Source organism: Homo sapiens, chromosome 16 (assembly GCF_000001405.40).
Source record: "Homo sapiens chromosome 16, GRCh38.p14 Primary Assembly".
Classification (NCBI taxonomy): domain Eukaryota; kingdom Metazoa; phylum Chordata; class Mammalia; order Primates; family Hominidae; genus Homo; species Homo sapiens.
Window position 1 is genome coordinate 6282807 of NC_000016.10, and position 18969 is coordinate 6301775.

General features: G+C 41.2%; 1 protein-coding gene across 16 annotated transcripts in view, besides 1 other annotated feature; it reads left to right on the top strand.

Moving 5' to 3' along the window:
* The window catches only part of RBFOX1 (RNA binding fox-1 homolog 1), a 2473620-nt gene that overhangs the window by 1043086 nt on the left and 1411565 nt on the right, over positions 1-18969 (top strand). The gene's annotated exons all lie outside the window — the stretch shown is intronic.
* Positions 15386-15931: an enhancer, noted in NCBI's record as "NANOG hESC enhancer chr16:6348193-6348738 (GRCh37/hg19 assembly coordinates)". NCBI's record gives its function as "activates a minimal SCP1, AML or CMV promoter by ChIP-STARR-seq in naive H9 embryonic stem cells {active_cell/tissue: H9 hESC(naive)}" and the evidence as "EXISTENCE:reporter gene assay evidence [ECO:0000049][PMID:30033119]".

Here is an 18969-nt window from a genome sequence, read left to right on the forward strand (position 1 = left end):
GAGCAAGCTCTGCACATCAACAAGGTCTAATAATTTCTTGAGCATTTGTTATTTGCCAACTACTTCATTAAGTACTTTGCATCTATTGTCTCATTTCATTGATCCTTACAACCTACTCAGTTCATAGTTAAGAGAACCCTCACTTGAAGAGATGAAGAACTCTGTGTACCATTGTCACCCTGTTGCAAAGTGACTGAGTCTAGATGTGCTCCTACATCTGACTCTAAAACCCTTACGCAACCAAACATGGTGGCCCCTGCCTGTAATCCCAGCCCTTGGGGAGGCCAAGGCAGGAGGATCACTTGAGCTCAGGAGTGGGAGACTAGTCTGGGTAACATAGTGAGACTCTGTCTCTACAAAAAAGTGAAAAATTAGTTGGGCTTGGTGACTGAGGCCTGTATTCCCAGCTACTTGGGAGGCTGAGGTGGGAGGATCGCTTGAACCCCGGAGGTTGAGCCTACAGTGAGCTGTGATGGCACTCTGTACCCAACCTGGATTACAGAGCAAGACCTCATCTCAAAAAACAAAAACAAACAAATAAAAATTAAATAATATCCTTAAGCCTAGCCATTCTTTCCTACTACAGTGAATGGGCTAAATTTTTATTTATTCTGTTTTTATCCCAGTCCTTCTCAAGCAGATTCTGCCATTGAAGTGGAAACATTAACAATCAGAGGCCTGTTTTCTTGGTGTTATGGCACTGGTTGAACTTCACGTAGTATACATAGGTATTACCCAGCCTCAAAAACAAGCAAAAATTAAAAATTCTCTCCAGAACTCAGGTGAGTGAAAAATGGGAAAGGATGCCTAACTTTATAGATATTGCACCAGTTCATCCCTTTGTCCCTACGTGCCGTTAGTATAGTGACGGAGTTTCACGTTGGCACCCAGAGATCCTTCCAGAAGGAATATGCACATACCCGCAGCTACTTTTGTTTTTCTTTCTTTCTTTGCAGTACTCTAATTAGAAATTGTATATCTGGGAAGTCCTCTGTGGTTTGACAGTGAGTGGCAGAGATATGGCCAAATTACCTGCAATGGCACTTTTAATTTATTTTCTACTCCTGGCTTGCCTCACGCTAAACCGACTTTGTTTCTGAAGCTGTTCTTATTTGGAGGGAACAAGAAAAGGAAGGTTTTCCAAGTACAGGAGTGCAATGCAGAAAGTTCCTTTTTCGTGTTGATCTTAGTGAGCTGTGGATGGTGCTGGAATGGATGGAGAGAAAGGGCTTTGCCTGTGTAGCTTGTTTTTAACATTATTCCATAAAGAGCACTGACAATTAATTAGACTCACACAACATCTAGGCCATTGGTACTGAAGTGGTAGATGGTAATCACTTTGCCCCATTTTTCCTATTATCTACTTAGCAGCTACAAAATATAATTCTGCTTGCAATTTATATTCTTTTTCATGCTTTGGCTTTGCTATTGGTACTGAAATTAACCAGTTTGCTCGATCTCTTTTCCTATGCCGTCAGGACAGCTCTGGGGTAGTTCAGAAATCAATTTTCAATCAGTTCACACCTGTACCTAAACCAAATCCCAATGATGCTTGCTGGTAAGCTGCCGATATTTGAAAGAGTCACTGTGCTAATGAGGCCCTCACATATAATATCTGCATAAATGGAAGATGTCATTCACAACCAGTGTTGAGGACAGCAGCCTGCAGAACTGCAGGTGGGTGGGCTGCGAAGTTGGGATAAATGTTTCATTCATTTAATGCCATTTTTATCACCTGTTTGCCTGAGGAAGACGCCATAGCAACAATATTTTATAGCTTTAAATACGGTGTTGATGTTTTCTGGAGTCAGGAAAAGTTGGGTATACTTACAGAAAGTGGAGAGGTCCTTGGTTTCTTTCATGCCACTTTGTAAAGATGAACAACTATTCAATCACGGTGCAGAATACCCCTGACCTTGTGAAATCAGGGGAGAATGGAAATTATTTTCCCTTCTCAGTCATTGGTATTCAGCTAGGTGGTTTATGCTAGGTTGTCTTAGAGGTATTGTGACTCCGTTCACATTATATACGAGTGCATGGAGAACACATTGTTCTTCTCATTAAAGGCTTATTAACTGCAGTTTGTGAAATGGAGTGAAAACAAATACGCTTCCAAATGGCTGGCATGTTTCTTATCCTCTTGCCTGACACAGAAAACCCCAGGGTATCGGGGAAATTCACAGGAACAAGGGCTTCAAAGAAACATTCACAGTTAGCCAGTCTTAAACCGAGAGAGGCAAGGAAATCGCAGGAATGTTGATTTCTTCGTTGTTGTTTCTTTTCAGATACTTACTGTAGGAGTCAAGAAAAATGAAAATTAAAAATAATGGCTAAAAGTATGGAAGAATCTGCTCAGTGGCCCTGGATAGGGGAGAAAAGGGGGTCCCGTTAATTTGCAAATTTGGAATTCCAGATACTAAATATGTTAAGCTTAGTAGGAAGTAGATTCTGCATAAGCCTCCATGACAAAGGCATTTGATTAGAAATATGAAAAGAACCTCAGAAAGGAAAGTTTAAGACTATATCTGGAAGTATGAATTCTGAGGGCGTGTGAACTGAATAAAAGGAGCCATATACATTGTGGTAGCAATGAGTGCAGTCTTCATGCTGACAGGAGTATTTCTAAGTTTATGGGAGCCAAACACCCTGAAATCCCACATCTCTACATATGGCAAAAGGTTTTCATCCCTAAAACACCTCTTGGGTGTTGCCGAGTGCTGATTCCATGCACAAGGAGAGACGTGGCTGTTTCTTTGCCTCACAGATTCTGAGATGCATAATAGCTTCTGCTTTTTGTTCTGGTGAGAGGTTTGCTTTTTAGGATGTAAATGACCATCACGTTGGCTTGAATCTGTTCCCTGCTTTTCCTGCCTATCCATCCTTGTATATCCTGCAACCTCCATGGCTAAGGACAATAGGGTCTGTTGGTAACCTCAGAGGAGATTGGATTGTAGGTAGACTCTGTTTCTCTCCTGTCCTCTTTGTGACTGCTCTAGTTGCAGTGGAGACATCGGATCCCATCCAGAAGCATCTTATTTACATTGATGGCCCATTAACACAACATGTAACCCAAGAAGGAACGCAACAATAAATCATCAGTCACATAATTAAATAAATTGAGGCTTCTTGTGTAAAAGTGGGATAACACACAGTCGGCGGAGCGTTATTTAGTTCAAGCCAAGCTAATATTGTTAGAGCAAACATTAAGGCAGGTGACGAGGCTGCATCAAAATATTAATTATACACCATTTTGGCACTGATAATAAATGTTCACGTATGGCCCTCTTTCCAGGAGAAATGCTGAAATATGTTTCAAAGCAACGCTTTGAATAATTCAATAAATTATTGGAGTCTCAGTGGGAGAGCTCGACTGACATGAAAGTCATGGCGTCCATTTTTAACCCCCCATCCCTGGTTTCTTCTCTTCTCCAAAGGGCTCTGAATGCCAAGTCTCCATGTGTCTTAAATGTATCATTAAAGACACATTCCCAGACAGTGAGAAATGCAGTGTCGATAACTTGGGAAGAGTTCAGAAATCTTGACTCAGATGTGTGAGAACTTTTAAAATCACAGATCTTGGCATGAGGCCAAGTCTGTGTCCTACAGCCTGGCTACCTTGGCTGAGTTGCTCAAAGTCTCTGAGCATCCCTCTCCTCCTTCATACATTGGAAGTACTAGTACCTACCTTGCAAGATTGTTGCAAGGAATGGAAATGAGATATGTGCTACCCTTAGAATATTAAGTTTGGGGAGTTCTGGAAGATAGCAGTCGTCTCCTTAATAAGTGTGGTTGTTACTAACTATTTTTACAGATCTGACTTCTCCATAGCCTTGCCTGGACTCCGAGCAGAAGGTTACTGTGTGTTCTTTTGTTTACCCACTGGACTGGAGAATGATCCAACATTGCTCTAAAACAGGATACTGCACAGGCTCACCTGGGTAGCAGATTCATTCAGCCTAGCCAGTAGGTCTTTATACAAGGAAGACTAGACTTGGAAGAACTTGATAATCCTAAATAATATTATTTATTTCTATTCCTTCTCTATCTCCCTGCACTAGAATGCAACATCTGTAAGAACAAGGATTACATTTTTCCCATACATGGCAATATTTGCTCAGCAACTATATAGTGGTAGAGTTGACTTGAAGGATATATTTAAAGGAATCAATCAAGAGTGAATTAGTTGGGGTTTTAGGTGAGTCTGAAACTCAAATGCCTACAGAGATCTACAGATTTTGAGTTGGGCTGGGTATAAAATGATAAGGGAACAGCATAGTTCATGGCAAACCAAAGAAGGCACACCTCACCCAAGGGTATTCAGAGTCATTTGATCATTACCAACGACAGGCACAAAAAACTCCATTTGAATGCAAATTCAGCCTCCAAGAATGAACTTTGTGAACTTACTGTTTTCAAGTTGAAGTGGGTTAGGGGAACACAGTGACTAATGACTATTTAAAATGGCCAACGAGTGCCACCAAAAATAGTCATGGTGTTGCCAGCTCTATCTTGTCTATTTGTTCGGACTTGAAGTGATCTTCGTTGTTTTCCCAGTAGGAAACAAACTTGCTAAGAATCCTGTATTATCATTGGTGTTTGCCAATATGATATTTATTAAATTAGCCAATGGATGTGTTTTGAGGACATGTCATGTGTCAAAGATGATGCTAGGTGTTAGGGCTGCAATACCAAATACTAGATTATTCACAGGTTCATGAGGCTCATCTAGCATCATTCTCACAACTGCTAACACAGGGCAGTGCCTGATTCATAGTTAGACTTTAGTAAACATTTGATGAATGACTAAATGTGTAATCAGAACAGGAAAGTGAAAATCTTGCAGATCGCCAGCTCAGAGTATGTATGCATATATACATAAAAGCACACACACATATAAGCATACATATATGTGATACATATGAAATGGCATATTAAGACCATTCTCCATTTATCGTCATCTGATTGTCTAGAATTAAGAACATTTACCTATATGTGGAGGAACTCCAAAATTATTATGCTATTGTTTCTAATCTAGAAAGATCTTTAGGAAATACTGGTAGAACTTCACATCTTCAGATAAGCTTTTCAGTCTAGCTTACCCATGCTTTCCTGTCCTAAAATTTTCTAAGTTTTGATATCTTGCTAAAGAAAAAATGAACAGTGTTAAGCGTTGGTGCATTTTGCGTACTTCAACCTTTTCTGTCTATAAACAAGCATCTGTAAGGCACCTGGAACTCTGCTAACATGGCTCACATGTTCCACTTTGTGACTTGATGTAACTCTTAGCTGCGTGCAGCATCCAGGTGAGATGTGAAGCTCTCATTCAGTTTACAAACAGTAAAATTACTGTGTCTTAATAATGTATCTCTATGTTGTTGAAATTTATGGAGAAAATGTTTGTGGTCAACAATGCTTATCAGAATGGTGTGAACGGTTTTTTTATAGCGATGTTTATCAAGTTATGTTGTGCATATGAGTCATGTAGAGTTGATGCTTGGGAAATCTTGTTAAAAGAATTGCTTAGGAGATCTTGTTCAAATATAGATTCAGATTTGGAAGTTCTGGGTTAGAGCCTGAGATTCTGCTTTTCTGCTGAACTGCAAGTGATGGGATGCTACCAAGTCATGGACCACACTTTGGGTAGCAAGGATTTTAAACAAATAAGGTCCATGCATCATACATACTATTGTACATACATGATTTTGTGACAAACCACATACATGTCCTATGCTAGATACTGCGTCATTTTTGTTATCTCCAGTTTACAGGCTGAAAACCTGAAACTCAGTCAGGTGAGAGCTGTTGTCTGAGTTGCACTTCTGGGAAACTGCAAAATTGAGATTTAAACCCAAGAACTCTGACTTCGAGCACATGTTGTTAATGTCCCTGTATGTTGCTTACTGTCTCTGCTGGTACAGCTGAAGCAAGGTCTTAGGTCTCTAAGCAGATAGCACCTGAATACGCCTGTATGCCTCTGTGCTTGGCTGCATTGTAGAGTGTGTTTTTAGTAATACCTGCTTGGGGTACTACTGAATTGAATAGGGTTGGAATTCTGGATCTAAGGTCTAGTGGAACCAACAGCGAATTCTGGACATTAGTTCTCAAGGCAATGCTTCTCATTGAGATGCTGTCACCCCCAGGAGGGTATAGACCAACTTCTTTAGCTCCAGTGGTGTGAGAAGAGTAAGCAGGGATTGAGTGTGTCTCCAGAATCTGAACAGAATGAGCTTTTATCATTTTTACCAACTATGCCCTTGATTTGTGTTCAAGATAGAGAATAACTTTTGGAGGGGGTTATTTCTGGAATAAAAAGGGAATTTACTTATCTGTTTAGTGATGGGGATGATCTTTCCTCCAAATCACACCGTGGAACAGTCTTTGATCAGTAGAATTTTTCTTTGCAGATGTCACAGAGGTATTCGTTCCTTGACATTTTTGGAAGTGTGGATATAGGATGGAAAGGTTTGGAAGGGTGGAGGTAGGATGGAAGGGTGGATATAGGTGTTATTCTTTGCACCATCAATCTACCTGTGACTGGTGATGCAAAGTATAATGCCCTTCCCTCCCAAAAGTGTACCCTTTGCAGAATCAGTAGGAAGTGAGGAAGTAACTCCTTTTAACTTGGATGTTAGCAGTCATCATCCTAATCATTCCCTATTTTAATCACAGAAATAAAAGGAAGAAAATCATTCTTGAGTCGGCTAATGCTATGTTACAGAACCATAGCTATTCATTGGTAATAGCTGGAAGACTGTTCTCTTATGCCCTTTTAATTGAGTGTCTTTCCGTCCTCTAGCTGTCCAATATCTGTTTAATCCACAAACAAGACTAATTTTGACTCAAAACATAGCTGGCCCTAGTACAAGAAGATGCATTGAGCAATAGGAATTATAAAATGAAAAGGTAAGGATGGTTGCATCCTGGGGGGAAAATGCCTTCCCAGGCAATTTGAGCAAACAAAATAATGCAAATGTCTTCTGAATGTAGTAAGGAGTTAAGGCCATCAGTAAAAGAGAGCAAATTGAATGAATAATACAAAGAATCATCCCTCAGTAAGAGAATAATGATTTCATGAAGCAGTGTAGAAAGAGGAGGGAGAGTAGAGAAATCTGAATGCCTTTGATAGTTGAGAATGAAATGGAAATGTAACAGCTTCACAAGGTGAATATGGAGAAGGGGTAGGAGAAGAGGAAACAAGATCATTAGAGATAACCCGTGGTTTTAAGCAAAATGAGGGGAAGACATTTAGAAATTTGTAAAATTGTGACCACAGCATTTTTTGACAGTGGAGGAGGAGGGGTATGTAGCTTGGATCGTTGTATTTAGAAACTACCTTTTTTATGAATTTTGCTGCATTACCTGAAAGTGAGCATTAGTTACTTGTATAATAAGCACCAAAATAGATTGTTGTGAGCATAGCAGTGATGTCCGTGTGAATAACATGTGCACTAAGAACGAAGGTGAATATGGAGAAGGGGTAAGAAAAGAGGAAACAAGATCATTAGAGGTAACCTGTGGTTTTAAGGAAAATGAGGGGAAGACATTTAGAAATTTGTAAAATTGTGACCATAGCATTTTTGGACAGTGGAGGAGGAGGGGTATGTAGCTTGGATCGTTGTATTTAGAAACTACCTTTTTTATGAATTTTGCTGCATTACCTGAAAGTGAGCATCAGTCACTTGTATAATAAGCAGCAACGTAGATTGTCATGAGGCATAGCAGTGATGTCCGTGTGAATAACATGTGGAGGGTTAGATAATTGTATGTGGAAAAGAAAGGGACATGGACAACATAGCGGTCATCCTATTGTGTCTAAAGTGAATTTAGCACACATGGGCGAAAAAGGAAATTTTACGTATCAGGTGTTCAGTGAATATTGGAGGTGTTTGTTGTGGTGGTGGTAGTTTTTACTATTCTGTAAAATGCACAGTTTCAAATAAAGGATATTGTTATTTCCACTTTAAAATACATAAGAAACTAAGTAAGTTCTTCTTGATACCAGAAAGGGGTCCAAATCCAGACCCCTAGAGAGTGTTCTTGGATCTCAGGCAAGAAAGAATTCAGGGTGAGTCTATAAAGTGAAAGCAAGTTTATTAAGAGAGTAGAGGAATAAAAGAATGGCTACTCCATAGAGAGAGCATCCCCAAGGGCTGCTGGTTGCCTATTTTTGTGGTTATTTCTTGATGATATGCCAAACAAGGGGTGTATTATTCAGGCCTCCCCTTTTTAGACCATATAGGGTAACTTGCTGATGTTGCCATGGCATCTGTAAACTGTCATGGCACTGCTGGGAGTACAGCAGTGGTCACTCTGATTGCCATCTTGGTTTTGGTGGGTTTTGGCCACCTTCTCCACTGCAACCTGTTTTATCAGCAAGGTCTTCTTGACCTGTATTTTGTGCCAACCTCTTATCTCAGCCTGTGAATTAGAATTCCTTAACCATCTGGGAATGCAGCCCAGTAGGTCTCAGCCTCATTTTACTCCGCTGCTATTCAAGATGGAGTTGCTCTGATTCAAACACCTCTGACATTCTTGCTGAGAGCCGTGAGTTCTCTTGCTGGGGTTAGATGATATGAGATGGTGGAGGCCGCAGGGACGGAATTGTTTCTTTTCTAGATCTCTTCCTTAGTTTACTTTCTTTCTTCCCTTTGTAAAAGGAAAATAAATCTTGGGACCTCAAACTCACTAAGCCAAAGGGAAAAGTCAAGCTGGGAACTGGTTCATGCAAACCTGCCTCCTGTTTTTCTTCCTCGGTGTAATGGCTACAAAGATGGAAAGCTACATACCTCCCTCACCTCTTGCCCGCCTGAGGCAAATGCATATCCAATGGCATCCTTTGCCGTATTGTCTACATTATCTTATGTAAACATGCAGATTAGCTGAGACAGACAAAGGCATAAATAATTATTTTCTCTTATCCTCCAACATGAAAATTGTATACTTCTCTTGATCTTGCCCTTTCCCCTTTAAATATTGAAACCTTGAAAATCATCTTCTTAGAAAGGTATTAGACCTGTCTCCCAGGCACATGTTCTTAACTTTGGCAAGTAAATCTAAGATGATTGAGACTTGCCTTGGTCATTTTCCTTGATTAACATGTCTTTATAATCTTTCAAAAGTTATAGACTCTGTGTTGGAATGAATGTGTGTGTGTGTGTGTGTGTGTACATACTTGTGTGTGTGTAGTTTGGGTCTGTGTTGTACAGGAGTAAAAAAAATGGCTTTATGTCCACTGTCAGTGAATACTGCTGTGCCTTTGCACTTTGACTTTAAACAAGAGAAGGTGTAATTGATAAAGAAACTAGAAGCCAGGCATGGTGGCATGCAGCTGAAGTCCTAGCTACTTGGGAGGATGAGTTGGGAGGACCACTTGAGCCCAAGAGGTCAAGGCTGCAGTAAGCCATGATCACACCACTGCACTCTAGCCTGGGTAAGAAAGTGAGATGCCATCTCTAAAAATAAAATAGAAAAAGAAGCTGAATTTTTCCAATAAAGTCCCACATCCAACTGTCTGGTGGAACTACCACCAATGGCTTCTCATTGGTGGAAACAGTTCCACAGATTTTTTTTTTTTTTTTAAGAAAAACCTAATTGCATGTGAATTTTTCTCAGACAAAAGTAGTTCTAAGAGTTTACCAAGAAATTAAAGTTCTTCAATAATTCAGTGTCAAATACATACGTTTGAATACTGAAAGCAGCCTCTTAATATCCATCTTCTTATTGGCTTTTTGTCTTGCTTTGCCTTGTAGATTTTTAGATAACGTCTAAAGGAAAACAACAAAATGGTTGAGGGGGAACCTCATGGAGTCAATTTGTTTTTCACTGTGGAAAATTTCTGTAGTCAGACTGATTTTTGCTCCTTCTAGGCGAATTGTTATATTTGCACACATTGTCAAAAAGTCATTGAACTATCTATTGCTGGTGACTGCACACATCCCTGTTACCAGCTCTGTAGTCCTCTGGGTTTGGGTGTAAAAAGAGTTGCCTGAAATAAATAGTTAACTGAAACTCAGCCTGGGAGCTACATTTCTGAGCACTTCCGTTTTCTACTTCTTACAAAATACAGTTCAAAAAATTCTAGACTGACATTCAAAGTACTTTTTCATCTGGCTCCAGCCTGTTTCAACCTTAAGTACACACAGTGATATACCGTAGGCTAGGACATTGTTGTCCCCAGGGTACTTACAATTTCCTTCCTGTCTTCATATCTTTCCCCCACCTGGAGGAATGTCTACCCCCTTTAGCTCCAAGTCTTATCTACTCCTCATAGCCACACTCAGATAGTAGTGATTAATATTCATATATATTCACTATGTGCTTTACATATGCAGAATCTTTCATTTTCATAGTACCCTATTAAGTGGGTAATATTGTCATTTTATAGATGGGGGAAATGAGAACCAGAGAGGTTAAGTAATGTGTACCAAATCACAGAGCTAAGAAATATTGGATCAGGGGTATAAACCTAGACACTCTGGCTTCAAAGTCTGCCTCCTTAAGTATTATACCAGACAGCCTCTCAATACTTACATCTGCCATGCAACTGTTCTTCATCTTCTCCAGCAAAATTTAAGCTCGCTTTTTCCCTCAAATATTCCTATCGCTCTGCCCGGGCTCATCATTTTCTGTTTTGAATATTTGTTATTCATTATGATGAGATGAATGCATAGCCTGTCTGCCAGGTCCTTGGATAAGCTCTTGGGATGCAAAGTCAAACCATTTTCTCCCTTCAGGGAACTGATAATCTAGGTTTGGAGAGGGGCAAGCAATAAACATCTGTGAGGTAGATGATTATGTGATACCTTATGCCGTATCTTAGTGTCTTTTAATAGAGGTGTGAATACAAGATCATAGAAACATAGGGAAGAGGGGCTAGTTCAGCCCTCGTCGCCTGGTATGGGCAGGAAGACTCTACTGAGAAAAGGTACTTGATCTGAACTTTGAAGCATGAATGTAATTTTCCTAACCAGAGGGTCCAGGAATAGGATTCCAGTCCAAGGAAGTGGGATGAATAAAACCTCAAATACACTCTCTTCATATGCCAATGTTCCTGGATGGGTTTACACCATCTCAGAATTCCAGGGTGAGCGGGGGGGTGGTGGAAATAGACGAATTGCAGGAATTTTTACTGTAAGAGTAAAGGAAAAACATTTCAGTGAATAAAATAAAGATGTAATGTTTGCCTTATCCTCTAAATATTTAAACCAGAGATCAAAAAGTCAAATTTCAACTAGGTGTGGTGGTATGAACCTGGAGTCCCAGCTACTCAGGAGGCTGAGACAGGAGGATTGCTTGAGCCTAGGAGTTCCAGGCTGCAGTGAGCTATGCTGGTGCCACTGCACTCCAGCCTGAGCGACAGAGTGAGACCCTGTCTCTAAAGAAAACAAAAATAGATTTTCTGCATGGGGCCAAACAGGAAAAGGGAAATGTCTAAAGGCAATAGAGATGGGTGGGGCCTGGGGAGAGCACAGACTCTTCCTGAAGGAAGCATCAGCTTGTAAGCTTATTAGACTTGGAGACACAAAAATATGGTCCCAGTATGGTTAGATGAGTTGGATTTGTAGATATTTAATGTTGATTGTTAAGCCCTGGTAACTTTGCGTAAATTGTTTTAAGCAGTGAGTGGTTCACATATTTTATATAGATGGGCCACTTAGATAATCTCACTTGCAGTTTGTGGTCTGTGATTTAGACCAAACAGGCTTAGCTCAGAGTTTCTGTGAAACAGGTAACACTAAGTATGAAGGTGCCTGCTTGTAGACCAAGTCTAATCCGTCAGCAATTCCTGAGTGCCTACTTGATGCTGAGCCCTCTGTGAGATCCTATAGAGTCTACTAAAGTAACTGGATGATGAAGAGGGCTCTTAGGTTAATGCAAGTTTAGAAAATTGTGTTTTGGCAATTGGCACATAAATACCAGGTTGTCCTTTTGATATCACTCTGTTAAAATGTATAATTCTGGAAATGTTCCTCTTGTTTTGAGTCTCTGATGGAGAAAATAATGAGTAGCAACAGAATGCATGTAAATAGGAGGAATGTGCTGTGGTGCTGCACATTTACACCGTTCCCTATCATTTAAGGAGACCAGCTGATAAAAAAAGATACATGTTTATTTCGTTTGTTCCTTCCCTAACCCCAATTTGCTGTGTTATTCTTCCGGATTTTCAGGAGGAATCGGCATAGGATAGTAATCAGCATTGTTTTCACCGTGACCATGCTTTTTCCACTATACTCTCTTTCTCCCACTCTCTCTCCTCCAAGTCCATTTCTGGCAAAGAGCTCTTAAGCAGTGAGTTTTTTTTTTTTTTTTTTTTTTTTTTTGAGACGGGGTATCTCTCTGTCGGAGTCTCTCTCCATCGCCAGGCTGGAGTGCAGTGGTGCGATCTCAGCTTACTGCAAACTCTGCCTCCTAGGTTCAAGTGATTGTCGTGCCTCAGCCTCCCAAGTAGCTGGGATTACAGGCATGCACCACCACACCCAGCAAATTGTTTTGTATTTTTAGTAGAGGCGAGGTTTCATCATGTTGGCCAGGATGGTCTCGATCCCTTGACCTTGTGATCTGTCCACCTTGGCCTCCCAAAGTGCTGGGATTACAGGCATAAGCCACCGTGCCTGGCCCCTTAAGTGTGTCTTTATAGTAGAGGTTTGTATGCTCAGCCTTCCAGCCTGTGGAGCTGTGTGCTATTACCAAGTTTTACTCTCTGAGTACATAGCCTGTAGTTGGGTTTGAATATTAAGTGTCAAATTCCAATACACCAATGAGAGATTTGAAGCAACCAGCAGGTAGCTTCTACATCCCTAAAAGCTGCAGAGCGCTGTCTGTGTTTATGAGCGGTCTCATTTCACACATGTCCAATGACTGGAATGAAGCTGGTGATCCAGTGTGTGATGCTGAAGGTACCATTACCTGCAGCTGTCCTCTTTCCTGAAATGAGGAGGGGACAGGGGCAATGGCTCAGGAGGAAAACGTGCAGAGCCCGCTGTTCACAAATGTGAAGGTTACTCCAGAGAGCGCCGGGAGCGATTTGTCAGCTTTGTTTGCAAAGAGATAGGGAGTGAAGGATTGTGATCCTTGGCACCGATAATGTCCCCTGGGCCACAAACTAATCCAGCAGGACACCTGATGTAACACAGCTATTTTATTCACATATGTCTGTATGGTTATCATAGAGGGCAGGAATGGAATAACAAGGCTTAGGAGATAATCATCAAACAACGTCTCCCTCTTCTGTAAAGGAAGCTGAGCCCAGGATCTTCATCCTTTCAGCCGTACAAGCAGTTGTTCTTCTCACAGACATTTATCGAGCATTTTGCTACATGCCTTGGGCACGGTTGGAAGGTCCCTCACTTCGCAGAGAGACCTCATCCATGGATTTAGTCACTCACACGCTCATCCATTCCCCAGACACTGCTTATGACCTTGGTGCCAAGTTCAGTGCTAGATTTTCAAAGAAGAAAGGGGATAAACATTTGGCTCCGGAAGCAGAATCCTGGCTTTATTACTAAAAAGCTGGGTGATCTTTTCTCTAGCAGCCTCACTATACTTATCTGGAAAATGGGTATAAAGGCAGTTTCACCTCATAGGTGGCTGTTACGATTAAGCGGGGAGGGGATGTACTTTTTTTTTTTTTTCGAGGTGGAGTCTCGCTCTGTCGCCCAGGCCGGAGTGCAATGGCGGGATCTCGGCTCACTGCAAGCTCCGCCTCCCGGGTTCAGGCCATTCTCCTGCCTCAGCCTCCCGTGTAGCTGGGACTACAGGCGTCCACCACCACACCTGGCTAATCTTTTATATTTTTAGTAGAGACGCGGTTTCACCGTGTTAGCTGGGATGGTCTCGATCTCCTGACCTTGTGATCCACCTGCCTCGGCCTCCCAAAGTGCTGGGATTACAGACGTGAGCCACCGTACCCAGCCTGTGTATTTTAAGAATACTTAGCATATGGCATGGCACTGTTAGTGATCAGATCCACATGAGTTTACTTGCCAGAGGAAGTCCATGCATGTGTTACCACACCGAGGTACCGGTACAGACCCCAAGAGAGGGTTCTTGGATCTTGTGCAAGAAAGAATTCAGGATGAGTCTGCAGAGTAAAGTGAAAGCCTGTTTATTAGGAAATTAAAGGAATAAAGAATGGTTACTCGATGGAGAAAGTAGCCCCAAGGGCTACTGGTTGCCCATTTTTATGGTTACTTCTTGATGATATGTTAAACAAGGGGTGGGTTATTCATGCCTCCCCTTTTTAGACCACAGAGGGTAACTTCCTAATGTTGCCATGGCATTTATAAACTGTCATGGTGCTGGTGGGAGTGTAGCGGTGAGGACCACCAGAAGTCAGTGTTGTCGCCATCTTCGTTTTGGTAGGTTTTGGCCGGCTTTCTTACTACAACCTATTTTATCAGCAAGATCTTTATGACCTGTATCTTGTGCCAACCTCCTATCTCATCCTCTGACTTAGAATGCCTTAACTGTCTGGGAATGCAGCCCAGTAGGTCTCAGCCTCATTTTACCCAGCCCATATTCAAGATGGAGTTGCTCTGGTTCACACGCCTCTGACACATGGATCACAATTTGGAGAGCACGGATAGGCTCTCATGGATCTGCTGTTTCACTGTGGCTTAAATCCCAGCCTCTACTTACTGGTGGCCTTAGCATTACTGTGACCTTGGGCATTTTATAAAATGCCTGTGAATGCCTCTGAACCGAGTTTCCTGATCTGTAAAATGAGAATAGTGGTGATTTGTACAGTAGTCAGGGAAATACTGGGTAGAAGAGGGCAGTTCCTTGGCAAAGGCTTCACCCTCAAGCCTGGATACTTGTGGCCTTAAATAGCAACAGACATTCCTGTTGCTTTTTGGCCCACCACACCCCCCTATCCTATACCCATATAAACCCCAAACACCCAGTTCCAGAAGGAGATGAAGAGACAAACAGAAGGGCAGAAGAATGGCAGAATGGCATGGCAGAAAGAAGAGAGGGAGCATCTGAACGCTGAGAGGAGTTCAGCTGGGGACAGTCAGAGAGGAGATTGGCCACTGGGTGGCGAAACGCCAGAGGAAGATCATCTTCCCACTCCATCCCCTTTCCAGCTCCCCATCTATCCAGATGAGAGCCACCTCCACCGCTCAATAAAACACCTGCATTCACTATCCTTCAATTCTGTGTGTGACCCAGTTCTTTCGGGGTGCTGGAGAAGAGCTCAGGATGCAGAAAGCTGTTGCACTGGTCCTCTGCATTTGCAAATAGGCAGAGGGTCTGCTGTGCTTGTTAACACTTAAGCCATCCGTGGATGGCAAGGCTAAAAGAGCACACTGTAACACACGCCCAGTTGGGCTCCTGCAGCTGTCTGTCATCATGCTCCACCTCCTGTAAGGGGTTTGAGCAGTGGCAGCAATTGAAGAGATGAGCCACACCCCTGTCTCATGTCCTGCGAGGGGGTCAGGGAACTCTCTTGTTTCAATGGTAGTGTCTGTGAATGCAGTTCTACTGCACAGGGTGCTCCATAGACACCCTGGCTTGTTTTTGCTTTCCATCACACTGATGTGTTAGTCATACCTCACACAGTCACTCACAGCTCCCCAAGTATATCCCATTGTTATGCACTTCATGTACACAATGCATCCCTAAGACATAAAAAACAATCATCAATTTATTTGACAAAGTGTGCTTTGTTTATAAGTTTTCACAATAATCAGAGAGTGACTGCTGGTAAGCCTTGATTTCTTTTCAAATTCAGTTGAACGCAGCTGTAAAGTGCCTGAACTTTGCCTTTAGCTAAGCAGATCCTAATGGGTTCAGTTAGCATTGTATATGCATGTGATTGACCAAAACCTTCCTTCTGGGTTGGCAACAGCGCTCATTAAAAAGTGAAAATACCCTTAGTGTTAATTTACCAAGCAGTGTTCGAGAATGACAAGCCATCTCAAGAGACTGTTTTCCAAAGGTTAGCTTTTGAAATTAAACAAATTATGGTGAGTTTACATATTTGTTGGATGCAAGTGCAATCTGATATTTAAATGGATCATGCCACCCTTTGGATGTTCATGGAAAATTTGGAATTATAGCCTATTTTGGTTTTTTGATGATCTGACATTCCTCATGTGGTGCTTGAGAGGTTAAGAACCCAGAGGGGAGCCTTGGTAGGCACTGGTATTCATTGGTGACAGTGGATGGAAAAGAATATCAGGATCTTGACCCCTTTCCTCGTGCTATTTCTGCCCTTGTCTCTGATACTTCATCTCTGTTCCCAGGTAAAAGGCATCTGCCAATTGCAACCCACAGTCTTGTTTGCAAGGAAAGTAACCCCAAGCAATGCAGCAGCTGGTGGTAACATTAGAATGAAAGGGGCAGGCTGAATACTAGCACCATGGGAAAGAAAATGCAAGTGTCCGATGCAGGGGCCTTAGCCCCACAAACTCATCTGAAACAGTGGACCCTTTTCCTATTTTTGCTCTTCCGTCTCTTCCTCAGAGGATGATAAATAATGTGATAACCATGTTATTTACTGACATCATTGTTAAATGGCTAAAGTTGAGCAGGCAGATCTAATTCTTTTAAATTCATCAATTCATGTAATTCTAAAAATAGCGTTTTGAGATGAGTGGCAGTATCATGACTTCCATATTACGGGTGTAAAGATTGAAGCTCAGAGAGGTCGAGTAACTTGCCCAAGGTCACAGCGCCAGCACATGGTGAAGCGCACGTAAGCCACCAGCCAGAGTGATTTCAGAGACCTCATTTTACTCTACCTTCCCAAGACCCCAGCGTCATCGTCACTCTCACATCCAGGTCACTCTCTACCATTTGGCCAGTTTTTCTCCTAAAATATGGTCAGAACAAGTCATTCCCCTTCTCAGAGATCCCTAATGGATCCTTAATGACTACCTGCCAAAGCCTAAACTCAGTTATTTGCAGTGGCCAAAAGCGTGGACTCTGGCGTCTGCTGGGTCTCAGTTAAAGGCGTGGCTGTCCTTATCACTAAGGGATCTTTGGGAAACAAGTCTGTCGGGGTTCAGTTTCCTCAATGGTAAAAAAATGGCATTAAAAACACCAACCTCAGATGGCTTCACTAGAAGCCCACACCCTCGTTTTAACACAATATACCTCTGTAACAAACCTGCTTGTGTGCCCCCAGAACCTACAGTTAAAATAAATCTAACAAAAGCACCTACCTAACTCACATGTACAATGGGATACCATTCAGCTTCAAAAGACAAGGACATTCTGTCATTTGTGACAACATGGTTGAACCTGGAGGTCATTATGTTAAGTAAAATAAGCCAGGCACAGGGGAACAAATACTGCATTATCTCACTTATATGAGGAATCTAAAAAAGTCAAACTCATAGAAACAGAGAGTAGAATGGTGTTTACCAGAGGCTGGTGAGAGGGGAGGAAATGGGGAGATGATCAAAGGATACAACATTTCAATTAGACAGAAGAAATAAATTCAAGAGACCTATGGTACAACTATAGTTAGTAACAATGTATATACTTGAATATCACTAAAAGAGTACGTTTTAAGTGTTCTCACCACAAAAAAGATAAGTATACACATGTTAATTAGCTTGATTTAGCCATTCCACAGTGTATACATATTTCAAAACATCATGTTGTACACCATAAATATACACAATTTTTGTCAACTTAAAGAATAAAAAGAAATCCCTCCGCCAACCCAACTACCTACCTCACAAAGTTATTAGCGAGACTTGCACCTGTGGTACATATAAAGTATTTAGCGGAGTACTCATTAAATTCGTACTGTTGTTAGGTTGGACTCATGAAGCCTCCTTCATCTAGTTTCATCTTTCCAATTTCCCTCAATATCTTTCCCACATTCTGGCTCCGGAAAACTATTCCTGATTCCCTCATATGGCATGGGGCTTCGTGCATCTAGCTTGTAGCCCTACTCTTTCATTAAGTGACAGTGTTTTCAATCCATGCATTATCACAGTTGCCACTTTTACCAAGTCCATTTACTCCACCACCACCTCCCAAGTCAGGATACATTGCTCTTCAGTTTTTCTGCTGGGAATCTTGTTTTGCTGTGCCTTCTATTAGCTATTATTAATGTGAGCTTGTTTAGAAAATGGAATGCCCCATTTATCTCTGAATCCCTAACTGTACCTGGCATCATGCTTTGATGGTTTTCACAAAGTGGGAACTCAGAAAGTGCCAAATGGATTAATGAGTGGATGTGCACATTAAAATGAACACAAGTAACTTACATTATGTTCCTTTGAAAAACATTTATTTCCTATGAGTTGTCATTGAAAAAAAAATCCTTGAGGATCAGAAACAGAACCTGGAAACTTTGGAATGTAGATTTTTTTCTTTGCTTCTTTAAATTGTAGACTTATTTAAATCTCTACATATTTCAAATCTAAAAGAAATTATGCACAACCAGACTCTAAATCCATGTGGAATAATTCAGTATTTCATATACATGAGTTCTGTATTTTTGATGGGTGTCACATGCCAAAGAATGTAGACTATGGCTAGAAATTAAGTGGGCTTTTGTTTGTTTGTTTGTTTGTTTTTCCAATTGCCTAGATAGGATTTTGCCTTATTAGGATTAAAGACTGCTTTCTTATTAAGCGATGCAGGTCTCATTGAAATAAGTACCTTTATGAAAATGATGCTTTTCTGATTTTTGTGAAAGATTGAAGCATTTTAGGGTAACTTGGAACATTATGAGATCTAGTTTCCGGAGATGTGAGTAAAATTAACTCCATGTTGTGAAGATTTTCAAATGAAAAAAATATTACAGAAAACGTTTAGGGAAGGCTACCCGTGTCTGAGGAGGTGTGTGGGAAATCTCTATAATTTTCTCTTTATTTTGCTGTGAACCCAAAACTACTCTTAAAAAAAGGAAAATTTTATAAAAACAGTTTAGGGGAGTGCCTAGAACTTAGCAAATGCTCTGTAACTTAATGCTCAATAAATGCTAGAATATGCTTCTACTAGATC